The sequence below is a fragment of the Homo sapiens genome, chromosome 11, assembly GCF_000001405.40.
Source record: "Homo sapiens chromosome 11, GRCh38.p14 Primary Assembly".
Lineage (NCBI taxonomy): Eukaryota > Metazoa > Chordata > Mammalia > Primates > Hominidae > Homo > Homo sapiens.
The window spans coordinates 40,919,830-40,947,086 of record NC_000011.10 but is presented as its reverse complement, the minus strand read 5'-3'; the positions used below and the strand labels follow the sequence as shown (position 1 = coordinate 40,947,086).

Genomic DNA, 27,257 nt, shown 5'->3' with positions numbered 1-27,257 from the left:
TGATAAGGAACTTTCTCTGATAAAGAAAAAAAATGTACGACTTCTGCCTTAACTTCGCTTATACCCAAAAGTCATTCAGGGGCAATTATGTTTAATTTCTACATAATTGTGTAGTTTTAGGGATCTATTTGGTATTGATTTCTATTTTTATTCCACTGTGGGCTGATAATATTGTTGGTATGATTTAAATTTTTTTGAATTTATTGGGACTGGCTTTATGGTTGAGCGTGTGGTCAATCTTGGAGTATGTTCCATGTGCAGATGAGAAGAATGTATATTATGTGGTTGATGGATGCAGTGCTCTGTTAGATGTCTATTAGTTTTAATTGGTCAAGTGTCAAATGTAAGTCCATAATTTCTTTGTTACTTTTATCCCTTGATGGCATCATTAACCGTCAGAGAGATGTAAATCAAAACCACAATAAGGGACAATCTTGCAGCAGTCAGAATGGCTATTAGTAAAAAGTCAAAACACATTTATTTTGGTTGGCAAGGCTGGCAAGGCTGTGGAGAAAAGGGAATGTTTACACACTGATAGTGGTAATGTAAATTAGTTCAGTCACTGTGGAAAGCGGTTTAGAGACTTCTCAAAGAACTTAAAACAGAACTACCATTTGACCCAGCAATCCCATTACTGGGTATATATCCAAAAGAAAATGAGTTGTTCTACTAAAAAGATACATACACTGATACGTTTATAACAGCACTATTCACCATAGCAGTCATAGAATCAACCTAGGTGCCCATCAGTGGTGGATTGAATAAAGAAAATGTGGTACATATATACCAAGAAATACTATGCAGCCATACAAAAGAATGAAATTATGTCCTTTGCAGCCACGTGAATGCAGCTGGAGGCCATTATTCCAAGCAAATTAACACAGGAACAGAAAGCCAAATACTGCACTTCCTCACTTCTAAGTGGGAGCTAAACGTTGAGTACTCATGGACATAAAGACACTGACAATAGACACTGAGGACTACTAGAGGGAGGAGGGCAGGAGAGAAACAAGGGTGGAAAAATTACTCTTGAGTACTATGCTAACTATCTGAGCAACAGGATCATTTGTATCCCAAACCTCAGCATTATGCAATATACAAATATAACAAACCTGCACGTGGACCCACCAAATCTAAAATAAAACTTGAAATTACATTTTTAAACCTGAGACTAAAAAAAGTATTGTGGGTTGAATTTTTGAAACTCATATTCATATGTATGGATTATTGAATCTTTGGGAACCACACAAAGTTTCCTGAGATTTACTTGGAGGCTCTGATGGTGTGGTTTGTACTGTTTGATAACTGTCCAGTAAGGACAGCTTCCTGCCAGGAATATACAGGAGCAACAAACTCCTTTCCCCATGGTTGGTGGATTGCTTAATCACATCCATTGCTCCCCACTTTTCAATGATGTTGAAATTCTGGGTTACACTGCTGATTCTAATTAACAGCAAAGATTTATCTTGACAAGACTTGTCAGCGAATTTGCATTCACCTTCATGTGACTGATACCAATTTCATGAGTTTTGAAATTGGAGTTGTAAGGACTCCAATGGATACTACATATTAAGGGGTACGATTGTGTTCAAACGCTCATTATATTTAGGAGTATAGACAGTGTATTTAAATGTTATCATGCTTTAATTCCTATGGTAAGTTAGTATAAATTGATAGTTAATATAAATTGATAACTTTTTTTAAAAACATGCTTCACTGGCTGATTTGTTAGGGTTTGGCCAGGAGAGAAGAAAAACTGCAAAGTTGGCCCGGGCACGGTGGCTCAAGCCTGTAATCCCAGCACTTTGGGAGGCCGAGACGGGTGGATCACGAGGTCAGGAGATCGAGACCATCCAGGTTAACCCCGTCTCTACTAAAAATACAAAAAAATTAGCCGGGCGTGGTGGTGGGCGCCTGTAGTCCCAGCTACTCGGGAGGCTGAGGCAGGAGAATGGCATGTGAACCCGGGAGGCAGAGCTTGCAGTGTGCCGAGATCGCGCCACTGCGCTCCAGCCCGGGCGACAAAGCAAGACTCCGTCTCAAAAAAAAAAAAAAAAAAAAAAGAAAAACTGCAAAGTTGAACACCACTTAGGAGAGCATGACTATTACAGTAGGAAAAATGAGGAGAAACGCAGGACTCAACTTGCATAGTGGCATGAGAATACCTAAGCTGGAATGAATAGGAAAGATATAGAAGTCTATATTTTTATAATTTGTTTTCTCTTGTTATTGGCAAAGCATTAGCCAAATGTCAAATATTGTTAAATGCTAATATATGGGCCAAGATGGCCAGAAATTGGAAAACTGTTCTGACTTATTATACTCTAAGACCATGCAAAATTGCCTTTCCTGGAGCATTATTTCAGGGTAAAAATGACCAAACCTACCAGGTGTTTGCAGAATCATCTCGAGGACTGGGAGCTTACTGTTTCTAATCCTCCCTCTGCATGGCTAAGCTTTCCAGAGGTACAGAAAGGGCATCCAGTTCAAGAACCCATGTCACTGAATCAGTAGAGAGCTTTTGGGAGACAGAGGTACTAGCCAAATTGCCCAGAGTAGACTTGTTAATAAAATTAGCAAACTTCACGTTATTTCAGTCTGTTACTCTTTCAATGACAGAAGCATTTTCTTTTTGCCTCCTTTCCAGTGGAGCTTCAAAAATGTATCTGTGTTTTGCAAGTCTTGCAGATTTATAATTTTCTGTGTTGGATGTGAACCCCTACACTGGAGAGGTCAGAAAAATTATTCATGAAAAACACAAATCTTGCAATTGATAGATAAGGATAAAATATCGTATCCTCAAGATATGTGGTGCAAATCTATTGCTAAGGCATCTGTGAATGTTTTTAGCTTGGGTTTTTTTAATGCAAATATTAGTGATGAAATCTTAAACTCTTCATTGGTTATCAATAAATATCACTTTTATTTATTGATCAAATTGTCTTCTGACAATTTGTTGTTTTTGAAAATCATTTTCTGCTATCCATCCAAGGGGAGCTAACATTTCTGGAGTAGCTAATAGGTGTTAGATGTAATGATGTGTATTTACCGTCCGTATTTAGGACAACCTTAAAATAATCCTATTCCAATTAAGGAAACTAAAGCTTGGTGAAGTTAAGCATTTTGACTAACGAGAAATGGGCCAGAACATGGATTAAAATCAAGTCAGTCTTTTTTCTGGAAGTGAAATTGGGGAAGAGGGAGAGCTAAATGGGTCAGGGCCTTCTGCCTAATGACTGTACATCTGACCTATCAGGTCCGGTTTTTATGGGTTTTAAACATCTGTGTCATGGTTACTCCTACTGGGAAGTTGAATGTATTCCACATAAGAATGAAGAGACTAATGTGTGCAAACACTTCAAAGACTCTCCCGACAGGAGAGATAGCCTTGGAGACAACTGCCTTCATCATTTTTTACCCCTTCCCCTTCACAGAAAACAATTTCAAATAGTATAACACAGGTTGTATTAGAATCTGTGTGGTGGCTGTAATACTCTGTCTAAATGAACTGAATAAAAACCTCTCTTGGGGCAAACCAGGCAGTTTGGTTTAAATGATCCCTTACTCTGCTTTAAAGTATACTAGTAATACAAGCAAATCCAACTGTAGCCAACAAGTGAGTTCCTAGAATTGCATTTTCTTTGGCAGGTAAATGGTTTTTCTTTGTGCTGGAATCGAAGGTAATGGAGAATAGTGGTTAAGAATACGGGTTTTGAAGTCAAGCAGCTGAGAACTGTAGCACAGTACAATCATTCGTGTGATCATGAGCCAGTTACTTAAGCATCACTTTGCTCCTCTATACTAAGGTGTGAGGGGAAATAACCTGCCTGCAGAGATGCTGTGAGAACAAAACGTTGTAAGTGTGTAAATCACCTAACAGTACCTAGCCTTTAGTTATTTAGTCATTTCTTCTGCACCACGAGTAAGTTAAGTCTTCACACATATCACCTCTCAGAGAACAACTCCATGAGATAAATGTGATTTCATTATTACCTGCATTTAAGAAAACTGAGGTTCGTGAAAAATATTCCTGTAGTCATACATGTGGGCCAAGATAGAAAAGTAGGTTTATGTCTGCTTTCAACACCTGAGCTGCTAAGTATACTACTATTTATTTCACATGATCCTGTGTCACTATGAAATAAGTAGTTGAGTAATTGCTGACATAGAAAGTTAGTAATAGGGGTTATGGGGAGTTAAATGCCTTGGCTCTGTTCATATGGTTGGTAGGTGTTAGAGTTAGGATTGGAACTCTGGTCTGTCTGGTGTTATCTTTTCTTTATTACTAGTATCTCCATTTTCTTTACCTCTTGGAATGCTCCATCTGAATAGCTTGTATACTTCAGGAATCTTTCTGCAGTGCAGATCTCACACTGTCTCTGTCAAGCATTAATTCCTTCAATAATCCCACATTATCTACAGGATAAGGTCAAACCACTTTGTATAACTCACCTTGCTCTTCCCAATCTGAATCCCACCTCCCTCTCTGGTGTGCTGCACACCAACACACTTACGTACATGCTCCAACTCTAGTGCACTACTTGCAACGCCCCCACACTCACCATGTTGTCCTGTATTTCTACATTAGTTCATGCCTGGAATGCACTTGCTCACCTTGTTCAATGTGTGACTTCTTAGTCATCTTTGAAAATTGCAGCACTTTCTAATTGAAAACTGCAGCACTTTCTAAAGTTCTGGTCCATGAGTAAAAACTAACACTCCCATGACCACTACAATGAAAGTATGCCATTTGTCCTCTTGCTGGGATTATAATTGACTGATAGTCCTAGAAGCTGCTCTTAAGATCCAATGGGTCTTTTGCTGCTAGATTTTGTTTCCCATGAGCTGCTTCCAGTCAATGACTGCTAGTAGCTCACTCCCATTCTTATAAAACATAGGACTCCTCTAATGTGCAACTTCATCTCAAGGATGCCCCATTGGCTAGCTAAACCTTTCTTGGAACTGTGCTGCAGGACTGGACTCTCTCTATCCAACCTTTGCCCCTTCCATTCTCCTTCACACATGTCAGACATTCACCGTAGTCTGAAATCTCTCCCTTATTCACCTGCTCACTGCCCCTTTATCCTCCACAGTAATATCTGCCAATAAATTTATTGTGTGTCTAACCCTGTCTCAGTGCCTGCTTCTTGATGGACTTGAACTAACATAGCTATAATAATGCCTTCTCTATCCTGTATACATACTATCACAAAATAATTGCCTTCATTATTTTCTTATCCCCTTCTCTAAATTAAATTATAAACCCTGTAAAATCAGAAAAAATATTGCCTTACTTCATTTATTTTTAGCACTTAGCATACTGTTTGATCCTTAGTGAGTATTTAATAAATATTTGTATAAATAAGTGCTCAAAGTATGATTTTCTCTAACATGAATTGTTTAGGTTAAAACAATCAAAACTATGTGTTTACTTCTCAGGTAGCACTATCAATCAATGTGAAGATAGCTGGAAGTTAGCTTAGTGTTACTAATGCAAAGATTACATTTCAAAGTATTACCATTTAGCTTCCCCATGCCCAAAATATTTTCTTGAGTTCAAGTGAGTTTCCATGCTTATGATCTTAATTTAACTAAACATGAAATCTTGAAATCTCAGTGAATACCTCTCATCACTAAATGAAACAGCTTTGATTAATCACTTTGAGCACTTCAAAATAATCTGTCAGTTAACCTATATTTAACATAAAATCTATGTGAGAGCATTTATTTGTAGGAAAGCATATTCTTAGACAGCTATAAAATCAGATATCAGTTCTTAATATTTCAAGTAAGGAGTGGGATGTAGAATGTTTCTATTTATTACTGGTAAAGCCATTACAAACCTGTTTTAATCTGCATAGTAATAAAATTATCATGACTAACATTATTTTCTCTTGATCATTTCAGGTCTTATATTTTTATTGCAACAAAAAATAAGTATCTCATTTCTAATTGAATTTTTTCTTCAAAATTACACTGGTTTAACAATCTAATTTTGAAATGCCATTTCACTGCTTGACTCCAGCCAGTTCTGTTTTTTTGTCCCACTTCATTTTTCGTATTTAAGATTTCTGTTGGAATTTTTAAATATATTATCTTCTGAATGTATTACGTGATCATTCTTGTGCCATCAGAACTAGTGTCCAAAAAAAAAAAAAAAAGATTTTGTAACGAATTCTCTGTCATGCTCTTCAGGCCATGATCCCCATTCCCCAGATAAGATGCTAAGAATTAAGTAAGTAAAATAATGAGGTGATTGCATAATTAGTAACTGGATATGAACCCAGATTTACCTGATTTTTGACTACCTAATCTTAATTCAGTTGTCTAGAGTTTTGAGTAAAGTTTGAGTATCAGAGAAGTCTGTTTAATATGAAAAGCACAGAATGCTCTTCTAAGAACTTTGTAGCCTGTTCTGGAGGCATTAGAAAGCTACTTAGGTTTTAAGGAAGAAGGAATAATATAATTTGATATCTGTTTGAAAAACGTATCAAAAGTAGAATGTGCAGATAATGTAAAAGATGATGGTTAAAAATAGGAAAGGGGAGATCTGAAGTAAGTTACTGACAAAATCCAAAGAGAAAGTGGTTAGGATCTTATCTAAGAACATAGGCAAGAAAATTGAGAGGAAGAGCAGAGTGAAGAAATATCTCTAAATTCAGTGGCTCAGCAATGTGGGCATTTGATCACATTTCTTAGCCATCATACATTGTTTCCCGCTTGGTAAAATGAAGATAGTACAATATTCTTCAAAATGTTACCATGAGTTTTAAATAATAATATACTATTCTAAACTTGTTTGGTACATACTACGTGCCTAGGCTTTTTCATGAGCACTTTGTTTAATCTAAAAATTTAATTCTCACAACAAGCCCATTAGTTAGGTACTATCACTATCACAGTTTTATGGATGAGAAAACTGAGGCACAATGAGGTAGAGTAAAAAGGGATGACACTGTGACAGTGTGAGATTAAAGTAACAGCAGGTATTATATGTCTGACACATAGAAGGTGCTTTGTAAATGACTATAATTAGCCAAGTAGACTAATGTACTTGAGAGATAGAACCAAACTGGACTCAAGTTTGTTACATGGTAATCCAGCACTTGTTCATGTGAACTGAACTCTGATTGGACCTTCACGGATGGAGTGCAGGTGCTGTCCTTGATGCTGGGAATACAGGGGCAAAGTAAACAAACCCCTGTCATCACAATGATTTCTGTCTGATAAAACAAATGATCTGATGACAGGTAATTGAACAAAGGAAGCTGAGTTGGACTGTTTCCAAATTATTTTCTGCAACACACTGTATACTGGAAACATTTACTCAGGAAGATGGCACAGGAACAAGGCTCAGCAACCATCTTCACTTTGCTGCATTCTCAGTGAGGACAAAGGAAACAAACTGGCTTCAAATCCCTTCTTGAGCCCCTTTTTTGATAGAGTTCACTTTAATCTCTGGACTGTTATAGGTCCAAAGCTATATACAAAGTGTCTAGTTTCTGGTGAATCCCCAGGTGCCGAAAGAGTGCCTAAAACCGAGCGGGCAGTTAACTATTGTGTCTTGAATGAATAGATGAATGAATGAATTCAGGTATTTTTCACTTTTTAAGCTATTCATCCTTTACAGTAAGTTGATTTCTGAGGAAAAAATGAGTATTTAAGAATTAATTACCAACTTGTATATGTGCTAGGATTGATGGTTTTACAAAGAAGATATAATGATTTAAAAGTGTCTTCTAATAATTATTTATAACAAACATTGAAGAGATAATTTTAGCCATTTTATGTGAGCACTAAAACCAGAGCACCCTTTGAATTTCAGAAGTGTCATTGTGCCACCTTTTTAAAATTAAATCTCATTCAAAATTCATATTTTAAACAGCATTGTGAAAACACTAATGTTCAATATAAAAGCATCATTTAGTATTACACCATAGCCAAGAAATCGTGAGACAATTAGTCCATGTTCTTCCGTCTAGTTTTTGTACATGGACATATGTATCATCACAGAATAATCGTTATTTTAGAATTTCCTTTTTTTCCATTCACTATTATATCATAAACATTTCTATAACATTTTATAATTATATAATACTATTTTAATATCTGGATAATATTTTCTCTGTTTGTCCCAGCCCTGTGTGGCCACTCACCCACTTACCTTCAGTAGATCTCTGGAATGTTATCAATTCCAGATGGTGTCTAAAATGATGCATTTGCAAGACAGAACCATTACATTGTAGCATTTTCTAGTTTGAGAAGAGCTTGAAATTTGTGCAATTAAATAATTCCCTTCATTTAAGGATGAAGACACAGACATCAAGGGAGTTGTGGGAACTTGAGCTATGTTCTGAGAAGAATGGTAGAGTGTCAGATCAAAGTTATTCAGCTATGACCTGGACCAATCACTTCACTACCTTGTGCCTTAGTGTGGTCAAGTCTGAATCACCTAGGTCATATTTTTGGAAATGTCATGTTTATCTATTTAAGAAGAGGCAGTAGGTGGTTAAAACTAATGAATGACATTTTCAAATACATTTATACAACACAGAATCAAAATATGCCACATAATGTATTTACCATAATATTGACACATAGTATGTGTTCAACACATACATTTACTGCCATCGTCATTGTTATTATTGTTGTTGTTGTTTGTACAATGTCTCTACTTGGTGTAGTATAGGCATATTTTATAGCTGTTCCTCAGTACATTATCAAGTACAGTGAATTATCCATAGGCTTTCCTCACCCTTCGCTTGGATCTTTTCTCTGTGACAGTACAGAATCATTGCGGTGCACTCATCCAAATGGAGAAAGGTCAGAGGGAGATTACGTTTTCTTTCCTGCCAGAATAGCTGTTTATCAGGAGGAAAGGAACTGTCAGAACTGGAGGAGACCTGCGCCTGTTCATTCATCTTTGCCCCTTTCTGCCAATGCAGGATAACTACTGAAAGAACATTCTTAAGTGATGCTTTTTAAATGACTTCAAGCAGTAGTGCTTCCAATTAGATTGATATTTGTCATAACTATTTTATTGGCTCTTGATAATCACAGAGAGAATTACTGCTATTACTCTCCAACATTACGATGAATCAGTTCACAGAAGAAATTACAAAGAAGAGCAGGCTGGGTGCAGGAGCTCACACTTGTAATTCCAGCACTTTGGGAGGCCAAGGCAGAAGGATCACTTGAACACATGAGTTCAAGACAAGCCTGGGAAACATGGGAGACCCTGTCTCTACAAACAAACAAACAAACAACAACAACAACAAAAAGCTGGGCATGGTGGCATGTGCCTCTGTCCCAGCTACTCGGCAGGCTGAGGTGGGAGAATTGCCTGAACACAGGAGTTCGAGGCTGCAGTGAGCCATGATCACGCCACTTCACTCCAGCTGGGGTGAGACTCTGTCTCAAAAAAGACAACAACAACCACCCTACACACACACACACACACACACACACACACACACACACACATATACACACACTCAAGAAGAGTGAATTATTGGAGAGACTGAGTACTTTACAACTGAAGAGTTATGCAACAAAGTGATGATGTCTTAAGAGTACCCTAGTATTAGTTACTCTGTATTTTTTTTTAATTTCAACTTTTATTATATTAGACATGGAAGTGCATGTGCAGATTTATTACAAGGGAATCTTTTGTGATGCTGAGGTTTGGGGTATGGATCCCATCACCCAGGTAATTAGCATAGTACCTGATAGGTAGTTTTTCAACCCATATCTCCCACCCTCCCTCCCCACTCTAGTAGTCGGCAGCATCTGTTGTTCCAACATTTTTGTCTCTATGTGCTCAATGTTTAGCTCACACTTGTAAGTGAGAACATTCTGTATTTGGTTTTCTGTTCCTGTGTTAATTCACTTAGGATTATGGCCTCAAACTGCATCCATGCTGCTGCAAAGGACATGATTTTATTCTATTTTTATGGTTGCATAATACTTCACATTTATATGTACCACATTTTCTTTATCCAATCTGCCATTGATGGAAACCTGGGTTGATTCCATGTCTTTGCTATTGCAAATAGCACAGAATGAACATACATCTGCTGACAATGTTAGACAGTTACTTTGTTTTTAATTTATCATGAGTCTTCCAGATGTTCCCCAAACTTAACTCTCAGTTAAGAGTGATTGCCTTCTTGGAACGCTGCTGTATGGACTCCAGATTATATAATTCTAATTTCAAATTAGAACTTGTTTTTGTGTTAGAAAGCTGTCTAGGTTGGCATCCCAATTTTACCATTACTGGCTTTATGTCCTTATGCAAATTATTTAATCATTCTGTTTCTGTTTTTATATTTTTAAATAGACATGATTATAATTGCAACTACACAGCGTTGAGAATTAAATAAAATAATACATGATGTTACCAGTTAATGTAGTGCCTGATGTATGGTAAGTGCTTGAAAGTGTTAGATACTGGCCGGGCACGGTGGCTCACACCTGTAATCCCAGCACTTTGGGAGGCAGAGGCGGGTGGATCATGAGGTCAGGAGATCGAGACCATCCTGGCGAACATGGTGAAACCCTGTCTCTACTAAAAACACAAAAAATTAGCCAGCTGTGGTGGCGGGCGCCTGTAGTCCCAGTACTCGGGAGGCTGAGGCAGGAGAATGGCGTAAACCTGGGAGGCGGAGCTTGCAGTGAGCCGAGATCGCGCCACTGCACTCCAGCCTGGGCAGCAGAGTGAGACTCCATCTCAAAAAAAAAAAAAAAAAAACAAGTGTTAGATACTATTGTTGCTATTATTAAATTCATTATTAGCATATGACATATTTCTCAGGCCCTTTAAATCAGGTGAACATAAATTATCTAATTTAGATGTTAATAAAACTTACTATGGTGAAAAATAACCTATTTTACAATTCAAAAGACCCAACTTTAATATTGGGTCCACCACAAATTAATTATAATATCTGGAAATCATTGCAGCTCAGTTACATTGCAATACACATTTTTTCTCAGGACAGAGTTAAGGTTCAAACTATGTTATATATATATATATATATATATATATATATATATATATATATATATATATAAAATTTGGCATCTTTTTAGTAGTTTTTAGTACTCTCATCACATTCTTACTGAGAGTCCCATTTTATTTACTCAGCTCCCTTTAAAGATGGAGAATGTGTTATTACTCTAGTTTATAGCTGAGGACCTGAGACTCAGAATGAAGTTACATCACTAAACACAGTGAAACAGGAAGTAGAACCTAGATTTTCTTAAATCAAGAGAATGAACTCATTTATTCTGTGACTTTCTAGTTATCTGAAAACGTCAACCACCCAATACACTTTTCTGCTCCAATAGACTAATTTCTCTTGGGAATACATTCTAAAAATATGTGTCATTAGGCAATTTCATTCTTGTAAGAACATCATATTGTGTACATATGCAAACCTTTATTGTATGCCCTACTATACACCTAGGCTATGTGGTAAGGCTCATTGCTCCCAGGCTACAAACCTGTACACCATGTTACTGTACTGAAATATTATAGGAAGTTATAACACAATGCTAAGTATTTGTGTATCTAAAAATACCTAAACATAGAAAGGGTACAGTGAAAATATGACATTATAATCTTATGAGACCACCGTCATATAAGTGGTCTGTTGTTGACTGAAACATCCACGTGCAGTGTATGACTATATTAAGCAGACATGGCTCTGTTTTGTCAGAACAGACATGGATGAAAACAATAATAAAGACACAAGATTTTCCTCTGCATCTCACAGTTGAGGAAGCTGTAAAGGGACTGAATTTTGAACCCAATAACATTAATAAATTATTTAGCAATCTACTTAGAATGACTTCACTTCCTTAATCAACAAAATATTATTTAAGCCCCTACTACATACCTGTTTTGAATATATTTTGTTATTCAGGGAAACAAGGAGTGCAGCAGTGAAAAAAACTAATGGAAATCCCCACCCTCATGGGGTTTTCTTGCTTAATGGGAGGAGAACAACAATTTTAAAAAGTCTGTTTGTCAAAGATGTTGTATGCTAGACGGTAATAAGTGCTTTGAACCAAAATTAAGGAGGGAAAGAATAGGGTCAACGTGTAAGTCATGTGTTAAGTCTTTTTGCATAAGATAATGGTAGGATGTTGTTCTGACCTGAGGAGAAATAGCAGGAAGAGAAAATTGGTGGTGGCAGGGAGCTCCCTTTGGGATATTCTAAATATAAATAGCTTATTAGCACTCTAAATGTGTAGAACAAGTAGAGAGTTGGCTGGGCTAAAATATAAATCTGTCAATTCCAGGTGTGTAAATAGTATTTCAGTCATAAACCTGGATTAGACCTTGATGGGAGTTAGTCTACTAGGAAATAGGAGATAGTCAAGAGATAAGCCATTATTATTACAAACAATTAGAAGGAAACCTCAGAGGAGACTAAGAAAGTTTGACCCATTGTGGGAGGAAAACTGGAGAGAACGGTGCTCTGGAAGCCAAGTGAAAAAAAAAGTGTTTTAATTGGAAAGAAATGCTAAATTATTATAGCGTAAACTATAGCAGTACTAACTAAGTCTAATTTACTCCAGGATAGAGTAAGGAGAAATTGAAAGTAATGTGTGAATGTCTGTTATTTGAATAAGGCAGGTGGTCATTAAAGAAAGTAAACACACGAGTGCACACACACGCACATGCAGATAAAATATTTTCCATGCCTTCGGAGTGCAAAGGCAGGGACATAGAATTAGGAACACCAGCTATAAATCTCATAAAATATGACAAACAAAGGTCTGTGGGATTACGGATGAGGTAGAGATTAGTTTTGATTGGCTACTTCAGAGGGAAAAGGTCATATTTCAGCTGGGTATTAAAGAATGACTATGAGTTTGTGGATGAGAAATAGGAATAGACAAAAGAATAATGACATTTCAAGTGAATAAGATAGAAGGAAAATGGTATAGAGGCATGAAAAGGCACAGTATGTTTAAACAAGGAATAAACTCATTTGACAAAAATAGACCTTGCAAAGAAAACAGGGATAAACAGCACCAGATATGCCTTTTTTCCTTTGTTAAAAATCTTACTCAACAGTCCAATAGAAAGACAAATTTGATAAAGTGACACTTTTCTCAGAACCAAATATTGTGATTGACATCATTTTGCAAAAAGCCTTTTATATTCTGGGAAAAGCCTCAAGCATGGCATATTATAAAATGAATATACACGGATAAACTTACTGTAGAGAAATATAAATTATTCCCTGTAGGTTATTCCATTAGGTCAGTTTTAATTTCAAGTAACTTTGCTTGGGCTATTTTCTAACTTTCTTAAATGTAATGCCATGTTTTAATCGTATGTCTTTTCTAGAAATGGTTCTCTTTACTGCGAGGCTGCAAGGTCACCCAATGAGAGAGGGGCCAAATAAGCTGGAACATCATCTAATACACTGAATGTAGGTGAGTGAAACAATAATAGCTTTAAACAAAAGTAGAAAGAAATGTTGTTTCATATATGACTAGAAATGGTTCTCTTTACTGCGAGGCTGCAAGATCACCCAATGAGAGAGTGGCCAAATAAGCTGGAACATCATCTAATACACGGAATGTAAGTGAGTGCAACAATAATAGCTTTAAACAAAAGTAGAAAGAAACGTTGTTTCATATATGACTTATACTACCTTGGAATAGTCCATGTTTGTAAATTAATATGGTCAATTGCTGGATACATGGCATGGGCCAGGCTCTCACTGGTGAGTGTGGGGTTGCTGCACACACCTGTGTCAGGGCTCCATTTCTCCTTGAGGCACACAAATTACAGTTTTGCCAGGAGTCAGTTTGTCTCTTGTAACTGCTCTGCTTCTAGTAAAACATTGCAAGTCTGCTTTCTAACTGCAGTTGCATGTATTTTCACTTATTCCACTTTCTGACTCCTACTGAACTCATAATTTATCCTTCCTTTATCTTTCTCTATCAACCTGGTCCATCAGACACTACACTTAGCTTTATTTGCCACGCAGAATCCAAAGTCAGTCACTGAGTTCTCTCCAACCCTCTAGCTCTCTATGAAATCTATCCCCTGGCATATTTTTCTTGTCAGTTGACCAGTTAATATTTATTTGTATAATTGATTATTGGATGTACCCTTCACTAGATCAAATATTCTATGCAGGCAAGAATCATGTCTGTTTGCTCATACCTCTTGGATATTTAACACAGCCATGCTGTCTGACCGCATCTAGTCCTGAATAGGATGTGACCACATGAAATGTTCCAGCTCTTTCAGCATTTTTCAAAATCTCTATTCTCCATGGGCTCAAACCTTGCCCTGACTTCCTTAGTTTCAAATGAATTAGCCTCCTCTTTTAAAAAAAGATGAGGCTATTTGATGTGCACAGCACCGAATTTTTCTTCTTTAAACCTTAAAATATCTCTTTATCTTTACCTATACTCTATTTTCCAAAATAATCCCTCATATTAAATTTTAATTATAACACTTTCATTCCTTTACCAATTTTACTGAATCAGCTATTCGTCTCTAAATTTGCATTTCTCCATTTCCCTGGTTCCTTCCATGCAGACTAAAACCAAACATGTTTCTCTAATCCTGGAAACATATAACCAACTAAAATCCAAGCAAAACTATTCCCCATCATTTCACTCTTTTCCTGTGTTCTTCCCCACATTAGCCCCTCTTTACCCATTCAAACTTCTTGAAACAACTCTCAATATTCTTGTCCAATGCATGGTAAATTCCATAGAAGAAGGATCTATTTTTGTTTCATTGTGCATTGCATTTCCAGTATCTAACACAGCATCTAAAATGATAGGAGCTCAATAATTAAATAAATAAATATTAGTTCTCATCTCTCTTCCCACTCTGAGTGTTAAAATTTTGCTTCAAGCACTGCTTAAATTACTCTCACCAAGATAACCAACAGTAATAACTCCCTCCTCTCTTTTTCAATTTATAGCAATGCTGCAAATTCTCTTTTATATCCCATATCATAATCTATCCTAATTATTTTAACTGTATATGTCTCATCACTTCTTCAGAGTCTCAGCCCCTTGAGGTCAGGACAATTAACTTGGTTATTTCTTTTGCTTCCCTAACTCTTAGCTAAGAACTTATTTCTCAACTTTTTATTAATGACTTCAATTAATAGATTTAAGTACTGAAGGATCGATCCTCTGACATTACTCGGACAACTTTAGCACTACCTTTGGTAAAATGTTTTGTCCCTGAAATAAAAATGTAAAAAATGGAATAGAATATCCTGCTACAAACCATTTCAAAATCATTGGAGGAAGAATTCTAAAACTTTATACCAAACGAATCATGACATTTATATATAGGCTTCATAACTATATATAATCACTTAAAAATAATTATAAGTATCTACGCATATGTATGCTACACACACACACACACATACACACCCCTTTATCCTTGGCTACTTTAGTGCATTATGATCAAACTTATGCATTAAATGCCTGCAGTATATATCAATTGGGGCTCTATGATAAACAAATATATGCATGCGAACTTAGACATATACCACACAAATAAGCCAAGTAAAATATAACCCCCTATAAGCTAACATTCTCACAAAAGGGACAACATAAAATCTGAGTTAAATAGTAAGACTCTGCTTATTAAACATATATAAGCAATAAGAACACATGCATGCACACGTGTCTAAAAAATTGGTTGTAACTATATAAACGAATAGTCATTGATTAAATTATTTCTAAGAAAATAAAAGCCTTTTCTACTGTCTTTAAATTCCCAGTAAATGTACACAATAGAAGGAAGAAAACCCTAAGCAGCTGTTTTAGGAGTTTGAACAGAGATTTAATAATTATTCCACATTTCCCTTCCCTCTGTCTTCATTTTCTGCAAACTCAAAATTGGATTCTTGTTTGTTTGCTGTTTGATTCTTTTCTTCCACTAACTCATATGGATCAGCAGATCAACTTGAGTGTATTTGCCCCAGGTCTGAGATTCTAAAACTCTTCTGGGACACTGTTTCTTGTAATTACCTACAGCTGCATTTACTAAAACCCACAGATTAAAGTTTTCCTACAAGCACCTTGCTCAGGCCTTTGGGAGATCTTACAGTCCATGGAAAGGGATCAGGAAAATCCAAACTGATTGGTGGCTTGAGGGCCAAATAATTTATTGTTTAATTAACTTTTCTGTTTTTCCATTAGTTGTGACTTCACATAAACATAAATAATTTATGAAATGTTTGGGGGATTTAATTTGTTTTGGCCCCCAGTAAAAAGTCTTGAATGTAACCCATTTTTAGACTTGGATGTAAATGCTATTGCTTATATGATATTCACTCATATGGATCACTGTATCATAGGGGCATTTGTAAAATCAAAACAATTCACAAAGTAGTGATATTTTAAAAATCTAGACACAGCAGCAATTCAGGGAGAGCCATAAAGGCTTATAGAGAATCACTTTAAGATGGGAGGTCTCTCAGTCTCTAATTTGGTAAGTTGAATGACTATGTGGTTTATAGTCTTTGCCTTCTCTGTAAATATTTGGCATATACATTGGGTCAAGCCTTGAAACCATGTCTGCATGTGATGTATCAGAGACACTAATTCAGAAGGACCCCGAATTCTATTATATTAATTCTATTTAGCTGTTCAGTTAGCTCTCTTTTGTTTGCCTTTTCATGCTGTCCTCTTTCTGGTAAGTTGACCTGTAAAGGCTAGAGCAATAGGCTCCAGTCCCCACTTTGGCCATTAGGAAGTCCTAGCAGCGGATAATAAGAAAGAAAAAGTGAAATCAGCGTCTCTACTCTCCAGGTTTCTTTGTGTGTTCATCTCAGACTGGCTGGATTCCTCAGCCAAAGGTTTGGTATTTTTCTTGGCTACCTTCTAGCCATGAAACATGCAGACACTGCTTACCTGAACAGCTTCCTCCCCTACTACCTTCTGGACTAGAAGTGGTAACAAGTCTTTTTCTCTTATTAGCCCCGGGTCCTGCATTCTCATTTATGGCTCCCTAAGCCCTGGTTATATATTTGTAAGAAACTTTCACTGAATTATCTTAATTTGAGAGTGCCAGCTATTTCCTGTCAGAAATCTGATAGAATTCTCATTGCTATTCCTAAATTAGCTTCATATTGATTGTAATTTTGTAAAATTATGGCTAGTAGAGCTGAATATTAAATTAAATGTAACTGTTTAGGATAATAGACATGAATTACATGTCAATAGAGGAAAGGTCTTGGAAAAATAAGAAAAAATATTGCATTAGTAACATTTGCTCTTTTCTTTCATATGTTTACTTTGGACACTGAATTACATTTAAGAATTGAATAACTAGCTACTCGGGAGGCTGAGGCAGGAGAATGGCGTGAACCCGGGAGGCGGAGCTTGCAGTGAGCCGAGATCGCGCCACTGCACTCCAGCCTGGGCGACAGAGCGAGACTCTGTCTCAAAAAAAATAAAATAAAATAAAATAAAAAAGAATTGAATAACTAGAAGGTGGTGCTATTTCTGGTGAACTTCCTCCCTTTTTACTATGGACGGATAGCACTGAAGTTATAATGAATTCACCAGTACACCCAAACTACATTTTTCCCCATTTAATTTTTTGTGTTTAAAAATGTTAGAGGTTAGTTGACTGATATGGCCAATAGTTGCACTACTTTGTTTTTATTTATTTATTTTTATTCGTATGCATTTAAGGGGTACAAGTGCAATTTTGTTACATGAATATATTGCATAGTGGTGAGGGCTGGTCTTTTAATGGATCTAGCACCTGAGTAAGTTAAACTCTTTTAGACCTTGATAAACTTTTAAAGAAGTATGGGATTAATGTGGCATGGATGGCCATATTTGCCAAAAAGGAAGGCTGGCTGTATTGGTATTGTTGGCATCCAGTAGGTCAAATAATTATTTTAATAATTTGCTTTAAGTTTTGCAACTTTAAAGAGGAAGTGTCTAATACCAATAGAATTGGACTTCTTCCATTTGTGAAGAATTCAGAAGAGAAACATGTTTTCTTATTTAATTATACAAATTAGTCTCTGAACACTTTTTAATATTGGTATTAGAGGAAAGAGGCAGTTCTTGATATTAAATTTAACCTTGTAGAATGGTATACAATTATGCACCAAAATGTTTCCACAGCATTTTAGTGTTTTAAATTTGCTTGCTGATTTGAATTTGTAGAAGAAATTGCACACTTATTATGAAGTATTTGGGAAATTAAGAAAAAATGGTATAAGCCTAGCATAGAACAATTATTATTTTAGTTAACTTACCCCAATTTTCTTTTAGTTTTAATTTTAATTCACATATGATATTTTTATTCATAGGTCAAAGATTTTTCCAAATTTCTACATAGTTTTATAATAGTCAAAATTATTAAATGATTTTAGTAATTTAATAATTAAATTTAGCATTTGTACGGAATGCCAAAGCAAACATGCAATTTAGTGAAACTATGACTGGACTGTGGCCTTCTTAAGTACCTTTAAGAAGGCTGCTGGCCACAGAGTAAATATTCAATAAATGTTAGCTATTATTACTTAATGAAAGAGATAATAGAATTTTAAAAATATAGATTACCTCCATTGTTGCCATTTGAAAATATTCCACTACTCCCATATTGTGAATTAGCAACTTTCATCAATTCTAAGATGCATAATTATTTTTTCAAAATTTTCCAACTCCATCTCATGATGTGCCTCAATTAAATGCAATAATATTTAATTTTCAATATGTTTTTATTTTGTGTGATACATTAAAAAACCAGGAAGTCCGTGACATCTTAATATTTATTTTAGAAATATATATTTATAAATATATATTTATAAACACATATGGCAAGGGATGCTGAAAGAAACGTTAGGTTAGACCATACTACTTTCATATCATCATCTGAAAGTCCTTCCTATTTTTCACCATGAAAATTGCTACAAAACAGTGTAAGATTTAGATAGTGAAACAATAAGAAAGCAGTTAATTTCACTACTTGAGTTATAGGGTTTTTTAAAAAACAATATATTTGTAACTAATATTTCCCTTTTAAACTTCTAAATAATGTTTTAGGTCATAAAAGTTATGGATCTACTTAAAAAAAACTTTACATTGATTCATTAGGAAAAATTACTAAAAGTAAGTGAAGAATGTTTTTCCCCCGCTGACACAACATCTCTTTAAAAATGAATACGTGGTAGTCTGATATACATACCTCTCCCCAGTAATTCAGCAGAAACTAGGCTCTGTGTGAAACACCTAAGTGAACTATAATATGTCAAAAGCATGCCCTTAAGTACTTCCTACTTATAGGCAAAAACACAATTTAGTTGTAATAATAGAAATTATATTTTAATCAATATGCCCTTTGCTATTAATCCATTTTTAACTGCCCGAAGAGGCTTTAATAACATGTTAGGAAAATCAACCAACTATAGAGTAACTCCAAAGAGCAAAGGACTAGAATCCTTTCATTTCCAATTTATTATGTACAAAATTGACTTATATAATTTGCACACTTGTTTTTCCTAGAAACACATAGCTATTCTTTATGTACTCAAGGTGTCTTTCTTGGCAACTCAGAAAGAATCTGTAGGGTTTATTGGTACCACAAACTTTATAACAATTAATAAATACATATTTTGTTATCTTTAGTAAGGACTATATGTTTGATAATATTCTTTTTTTTTTCCTTTTTTTAATTTTTTTATTTTTTGAGTCACAGTCTTTATTGTTCAGGCTGGAGTCTAATGGCATGATCTTGGCTCATTGCAACCTCCGCCTCTCGGGTTCAAGTGATTCTTCTGCTTCAGCCTCCTGAGTAGCTGAGATTGTAGGTGCGCACCACCACACCTGGCTAATTTTTGTATGTTTAGTAGTGACAGGGTTTCATCATGTTGGCCAGGCTGGTCTCGAACTCCTGACCTCATGGTCCACCCGCCTCAGCCTCCCAAAGTGCTGGGATTACAGGCGTGAGCCACCGTGCCTGACTGATAATATTCTTTAATAATCAGCGACTGCTGCATTACAGACATAAGCTAGATTTTACCTTTATCCAAATTTGCTTATTTTATTGATTAGCTTTATGTTTTACAACAGCATACTCATTTTGGAAATATCAGGAAATAAATATAAGTCCCCTAATGATCTGAACACTCATGATCCTCCCCTGACAAACATAACCATCCTTAACACTGATGCACATATATTTACATAGTTTATGCCTATATCTGAAGTTTTTATTCAACATTTTATTGAAAATATTATTCTTGTTAAATAAGTATATGTGTAATTTTTTTTTAACTTTTAAGGTTTGCATAGTATTTCTGTGTAGACTTCTATCTTGACTTATTTAATGAATACTCTAGTATTAGAAGTACCCTGGAACTTAAAGTATAATTTTAAAAAAAGTATACTATAACCAAATTTACATGGTTAAAAACAGTGGTGGATGAATATGCCTATCATTCATTGTGAATACCCTTTTCTATTTTAGCAGATTCATTTACCAAATTAAAATATTAGAGTAACAGGAATACATTTCAGTGTCTTATGTCCTTGCCAAATTTAGAAAGTTTTTATCAAGCATTGTAAGAGAGTGCTTCAGTATTTTCAAAAAACATTTGCCAATCTGATAGATGACAATGCTCTTTCATTATTATTTAGATTTTTCTTTTTTCATCATTAATGAGCATTAATCATTTTCAAACATTTATTGTCGAATTTATTTCACTTTTCATTAGTTGTCCATTTTTGTCCTTAGCTGCATCATGTCTACTGAGCACAAATTAGGGAGGAGGACATCATGTACAACATGGAGCACGGAGGTCACAGGACAGAAGGAAAGAACGCAGCCTCCCTAGTAGGCATTGCTGCCTGCTGGAAAGTAATCTCTTCATCCGGAGACTTGTGATGAATTTGGCATTTGTACTAAAGGCCAAAGAAAACATGCAATTTAGTGAAGCTCAAGTCTGACTAGTTCTTAGGATTTCTGCTGATTAAACAACAACAACAAAAAACCCTTAGATTTGGACTTAAAAAAAAAAAACACCTTTTAGCAGGTGTTATTAGAACTGTTAACAGTAAAGCTTAGGATGTTTCTACATTTAAATAAGCACTCAAAGGAAAGCAGAAACAACATTATTGACCATATACCATGTTATAGAAAGGAACTAAAGATTTACCAATGTTATCTTTTGTCAATAGACTTGTATATTTCGTTTTAGAATTCATTTCATCCATTTTTATCCTCTCAGTGCCTAAAATAATGCCTGGCACATAGTAGAATTCCAGTAAATGTGAAATAATCTCCAATTTACAGACAATAAAGTAAATGATAATAGAGATAAGCAATTTTTACCATGGGGACTCAGCTACATAGTGATAATTTCAGGATTCAACATAAGTTTGTCCAAACCCAAACGCTGTGCTCTAAATATTATATAAAATATTTTTCCCTATTATAACTTTCCTTTTGTTATCTATTCTACCTGGAGGAATAAATTAGATTATGCTGTGGAACAAACAACTTCAATATCTGAGAAGCTTAAAGTGGCAAAGTTTCCTTCTTATATGTGCTGCGTGACAGTTGCAGGTTAACCAACTTTTGCAGGTTAACAAGCCCATTGTTCTTTCTCCAAGATTCAGGCTGAGGTAGCAGATACTCCCTGGACCACTGACAGTTGCCATGGCAAAGAAATGGAGAAAGAGAGTGTGCTGAATATTCTTTCCCTTGTTTTGTTAAAGCTTTTGCCAGAAGTGATGTGTGACACATCTGCTCATACATCACTTGTCAAAGCAATTTATGAATGAAGCTTCATGAGGGCTTGAGGGTGGGAAAATAAAATTGGGTAGCCCAACATAATCACATGGGTTTTTATTGAATGAAGAAGATTGACAGGGGAAGCAAAGAAGAAGATGTAAATATGATACACAGGAAAGAGAGAGAGAGAGAGAGAGAGAAATATTTGGGGATGGCTCCTCCCGCTGGTCACTAAATCCTCAAATAACTAAGTTCCAGGCATAGCACATTTGCTCTCTCCCTGGAAGAAACAACCCAGAAGAAAGAACCCAAGCTCCTCTTGGCTTGGAGAAATACAAATAAAAAGTCAAATTTTCTGCGCCTTTCAAAAATGATGTGTAATGATCAAACAATGACAGAAGTAAACACACTTGCTGGAATTGAGTATGTTCCTTGATTAACTGCAATTTTGCTCTATGGAGGAGGTCCCTCTCTTCATGATTTTCTCATCTATATTTTCTTATTTTAGCCTTTGAGAGATTATTTTTAAAATACTTTTTATTGATCCATAATTGTACACATTTATGGGATATATATATGATATTTCAATATGTGGATACAATGTGTTAACGATCAAGTCAGGTATTTAGCATATTCCTCACCTTAAATATTTATCATTTCTTTGTGCTGTGAACCTTCCAGATCCTCTCTTCTAGCTAATTTGAGGTACATGGCAAATTATTTACTGTAGTTACCCTACTGTGCTATCAAATACCAGAACTTATTTTTTCTCTCTAACTGCATATTAATACCATTAACTAATCTTTCTCTATCCCACCCCTCCCTGCCCAGCCTTACCTATTTGATTCCAGTAGATTCTTTATGTTGTTGCCCAGACTACTAGTATTTTTTAAGGCATACAGTATTTTTTAGCTTTTGCTACATTTCATTCTCTTCCAAAATTACTTCTTTCAAGCTGCATGCTGAATAATGAGCATGTAAGGCCTATCAGGTTTCAATTAAAGAACCACATCCTTTGTCTCCTGCCTCATAGCCAAAGTGTTCAATTGAACACTAGGCAGCTGAACTCTTATTCTCTCACCTTACTCCATACTCTCAACAATGGGTGTGAGGGCCATACTTTGGACTGGATCCTTGCTACAAGCTTCCATTTTTAAGGGCTTTGAACCTAATATCATATATATACATATATATATATATACACACACACACACACACACACATACACACACACACATATATACACACACATATATATGTATATATATAACTCTACAAGTCCCTGAATTCGTGGAATGACTTTATTTCCTTTAATTACTGATTGTAAGCTAATTACTTTCTGAGCTCATTCTCTTTTCTCTAATGCATTGCTAAATACAGAAAACATCAAAAATTAGCATTTGGTAGACTAATTCTTCCTCCAAAGCTACAGGTTCATTAATTCTATAGAAGAATGCCCAACTTAAAAGAGGTGACAACTTCACCAAATGCTTGTCCATTACATAAGACAAGTTATAATGCATCTTGTCTCCTATAACAATTTTCTCACTATTATTGTCTATTCAGCCAAGGACATTTTTTCTCAGATTTTTCTATTACAGCATTCTTCTTTTAGATATCATTTTTAGGAGTCCAAATAAACTAGTTTAGTAAAAAACTTCAATATATCAGTTGTTTAAAATAACAAATGAATATTATTTACTTACATTTTGCATCCATTATAGACAGCTCTGTTCTATGTCATTTTACTTGGGACTCCAGGCTGAGGGAGGTTTCATCTTTACATTTCCATGGTTGCTGAGAAGATAAACAGGAACATGGAAAATTGCACATTGACTGTTAAATTCTTCACCCAAAAGTGACAAGTGTGACTTCTACTCACACATTATTGGTCAAAGCAATATACACTGCCACATTTAACTTCAAAATAATTGGAAAGTAGAATCCTACTACTTTTCTGGAAAAAAGAACAATAAATATTGGGTTAATCATACAAGGACTAACACATTATCATATCCTCCAATAATTTATTGTTGAGAAGAATGACTCTTGGAAAATATGGCAACACCATTTTTCTCACGTTGATTGTTAGATCTTTACCCAATGCATAGAAATAAGTAGGTTTTCAATGACCTTTTGTTTAAGTAAATGAAATGTAACAATGTTTTCTAATTAGTGATGGTCAGAAAGATGTATGACAGGCTGGTGCAGTGGCTCACACCTGTAATCCCAGCACTTTGGGAGGCTGAGGGGGGCAGATCACCTGAGGTCAGGAGTTTAAGACCAGCCTGCCCAACATGGTGAAACCCTGTCTCTACTAAAAATACAAAAATTAGCTGGGTGTGGTGGCGTATGCCTGCAGTCCCAGCTACTTGGGAGGTTGAGGCATGAGAATCACTTGAACCGGGAGGCGGAGGTTGCAGTGAGCAGAGTTTGCGCCACTGTGCACCAGCCTATACAACAGAATGAGACTCTGCTTCTGAAAAAAAAAGTATCACATTTTAAAGTTGTAAAATTCACTTCACCTATACTACCCAACACAATCAACTATCACTGATATATTACTGCCCTTGCATTTGTTTGCAAAATTTATATTGATTTTCTCTTGGATATTCCCTTTCTCCTTGCCTTCCAACTTTCCAATTTGCCAAAGAAGAGTATAAAGTTATTGACAGACTACAGGTATTTTAAATAAGCATAGAAAACTAGTCAGAAGGGAGTTTATGGCACCAGGGTGTACTTTTGGTGACGAATCACATCTTTTACCACATGCATAATTAAAATGATCTTGACAAGAGAATGACTGTGCTGGCAGAAACTATCTTAATGCAATAGCAGTAAAGAATGACAGAGTTCAAGGTTTCTGTTAACCAACAGCAACTTTATTTTTCCTCTACAATAAACGTCTTCAAATGAATTATAAAGATTAAGTGGACAGCCTTACAAAGGAAATAGCTATGGTTTAAGAGATAACTTATTTAATGTTACTTCAGGGGCGAAGAAAAGTCAAACATTTTCTGGGGAAATATACATATTCTCATTAAACAGTATAATACATTTTCAGGAAAATAGGACTCCACCTCTACTCTAAAAATCTAAAAACTTGTACGGAGTGGTAAGGTATGGGGAGGGAAGGAAGGGGAAAGAGACAAAAAGAAGGGAGAGAGAAATATGAGAAGTTAGTATGTTCTTAAGTGCTGAATCACACATATCTACCTTTTCCCCCTAAACTGAGTAAAATTACTTTATAATATACAAAATTAGTTTGCAAAGTATTTGATAACTGAGAGTATTGCCAAACATTGAATTTGTTATACTCATGAGACACTGCCATTTGTCCTTAGAAGGCAGGAAGAGGGAATTTAAATTTGTTTGTAAGGAATATTACAGAGTAGAGGATTCCAAAAATTCAAGTGTGGTTTATAAGGAACCTACAAATTGTTGAGTTGTATTCCCCTCAGATCATTGATGCAAATTTACAGTAGTCTAGATTATGTTTATTTTCCATTGCTATTGTAACAAATTATCACAAATTTAGTGGCTTAAAACAACCAGATTGGTAATGTTGCCAACACAAAGAAAAGATAAATGTTTGAGGTGATGGATATTCCAATTACTTTGATTTGAATATTATACATTGTATGCAGGTATCAAAATGTCATATGTACCTCAAAAACATGTACAATTACTATATATCAACTTTTAAAATTTGTTGAAAAAAACAAGGTGATTATCTTATAATCCTGTCTGACAGAAGTTCCTCATAGGTCTTACTGAGCTAAACTGAAGATGTCAAGAGGACTGCATTCTCTTCTTGGTGATCTAAGGGAGGATTCATTTCCTTGGTAGTTGTGGTTGCTGGCAAAATTCAGCTCTTTGCAGCTGTAGGACTGAGCTTTTTCTCCTGGCTGGCTGTCAGCAGAAGGTCATTCTCAGCTTCTAGACATCATTCACATTCCTTGGTCCCTGGCCTCCTCCATCTTAAAAATTAATAATGACAGATTTAGTTACTTTTCTGTTTCAAATTTATCCTTCTCCTTCTATCTCAAATCTCTGACCCACTTTTCTGCCTTTCTCTTCCACTTTTAGAGATTCATTTCAAGCCAGACTTGGTGGCTTAGGCCTGTAATCCCAGCACTTTGGGAGGTAGAAGTGGGAGGATCACTTGAGCCAAGGAGATTGAGACCAGTCCTGACAACATAGCGAGACCTTGTCTCTACGAAAATTTTTTTAAAATTAGCTGAGTCTGGTGGTGCATGCCTTTAGTCCTAGCAATTTGGGAAGCTAAGGTGCAAGGATCCGTTCAGCCCAGGAAACTGACGCTGCAGTGAGCCATGATGATGACACTATGCTTCAGCCTGGACAACAGAGCAAGACCCTATCTCAAAAAAAAAAAAAACCTTGATTATGTTGGGCGCACCTGGATAATCCAGGATAATCTTCCCATTTTAAGATGCTTAACTTTAATCAAATCTGCAAAATGCCATGTGAGGTAATATAGTCACATGGTCTAGAATGTAACGATTCAAGGTAACATGCTCACAGGTTCCAAAATTTAGGACATGGTCATATTCGGATGGGAGGCACGTTATTCTACGTACCACAAAGATCTCATTGTGATATCCATGTTTGGGCTGCTCTGAGATAAATGGGTGAATTGAGTCATCAGTTTCCTATTAGAAGTAAACATGAGACTGGCCACTCATGAATCTGAAAAAACCTAAATGTGTTTTGCCCTGTCAGCTTGGGGGAAATGATTGTATGCTTTCCTAGCTACAAAAATATAGAAAATGTCTTATATTTATTCTAGAAATTCCCAGCAGAGCCTCAATTAACCAATATGTAAGGGAGTGTGTAACCAAGATAATATCCCATTAGTATAGGAATGTGAAAGTGCTTTGTGGGCTTATAGATAGTTATAAATTAAAATGCTTTTATTTAATGTCTTCACTGTATTATGATTCTGAATGTGTGGCCACATCTGCTGAATGTGTCACACAGATATGCATACAAATATAGATGTGTGATTAAACTTGACTGAAGTGGAGTTAATTAACCTGGATAAGAGAAAAATCATGGAGTATTTGAAAGGTGTCTTTATTTTTGATAAGGGGCTAATAAAGGAATAATAATTAGGAAAGTTATGTGTATTTTTGGGACTTGAAGTGTTCTCAATGAATCCTTGCTTTTATGATCCTGATTTTTGTTCAACATAAGATTTTCTTATAATCTGAGCAGTCTAAAAATTAATGGCATTGCATCATGAGTTAATGACCTTCCTGTCACTAGAGGTAATCAAGCAGTGTCAGGTGAGCCCTTAGTAGGGATATTATGGATTTGTTTTGAGCACTGTAAAGGTAGATTATACACATATTTTAGTAATATGGCCCTGTTTTTCTAAGTAAACTGATCAAAAATTATTGGTCTGACAATATTTTTTTCTGTTTTTTTATGCCTTGCAAAGATGTAAAAATTAATTCCTAAGTTGTTTGCA

At 35.7% G+C, this 27,257-nt stretch overlaps 1 protein-coding gene across 18 annotated transcripts in view; it reads left to right on the top strand.

Annotated features, from left to right (window-relative positions):
* LRRC4C (leucine rich repeat containing 4C) overlaps positions 1 to 27,257 on the top strand; it is a 1,345,454-nt gene that overhangs the window by 512,566 nt on the left and 805,631 nt on the right. For 14 of the 18 annotated variants that reach the window (XM_017018075.3, XM_017018073.3, XM_017018077.3 and 11 more), the window contains one exon: positions 13,364 to 13,452. The exons of 1 other annotated variant lie outside the window; for it this stretch is intronic. The gene's annotated coding sequence lies outside the window, so the exon portion shown is untranslated. The remainder of the gene's footprint in view (positions 1 to 13,363; positions 13,453 to 27,257) is intronic. 3 more of the 18 variants (XM_017018079.3, XM_017018070.3, XM_047427349.1) reach the window with 1 other exon arrangement.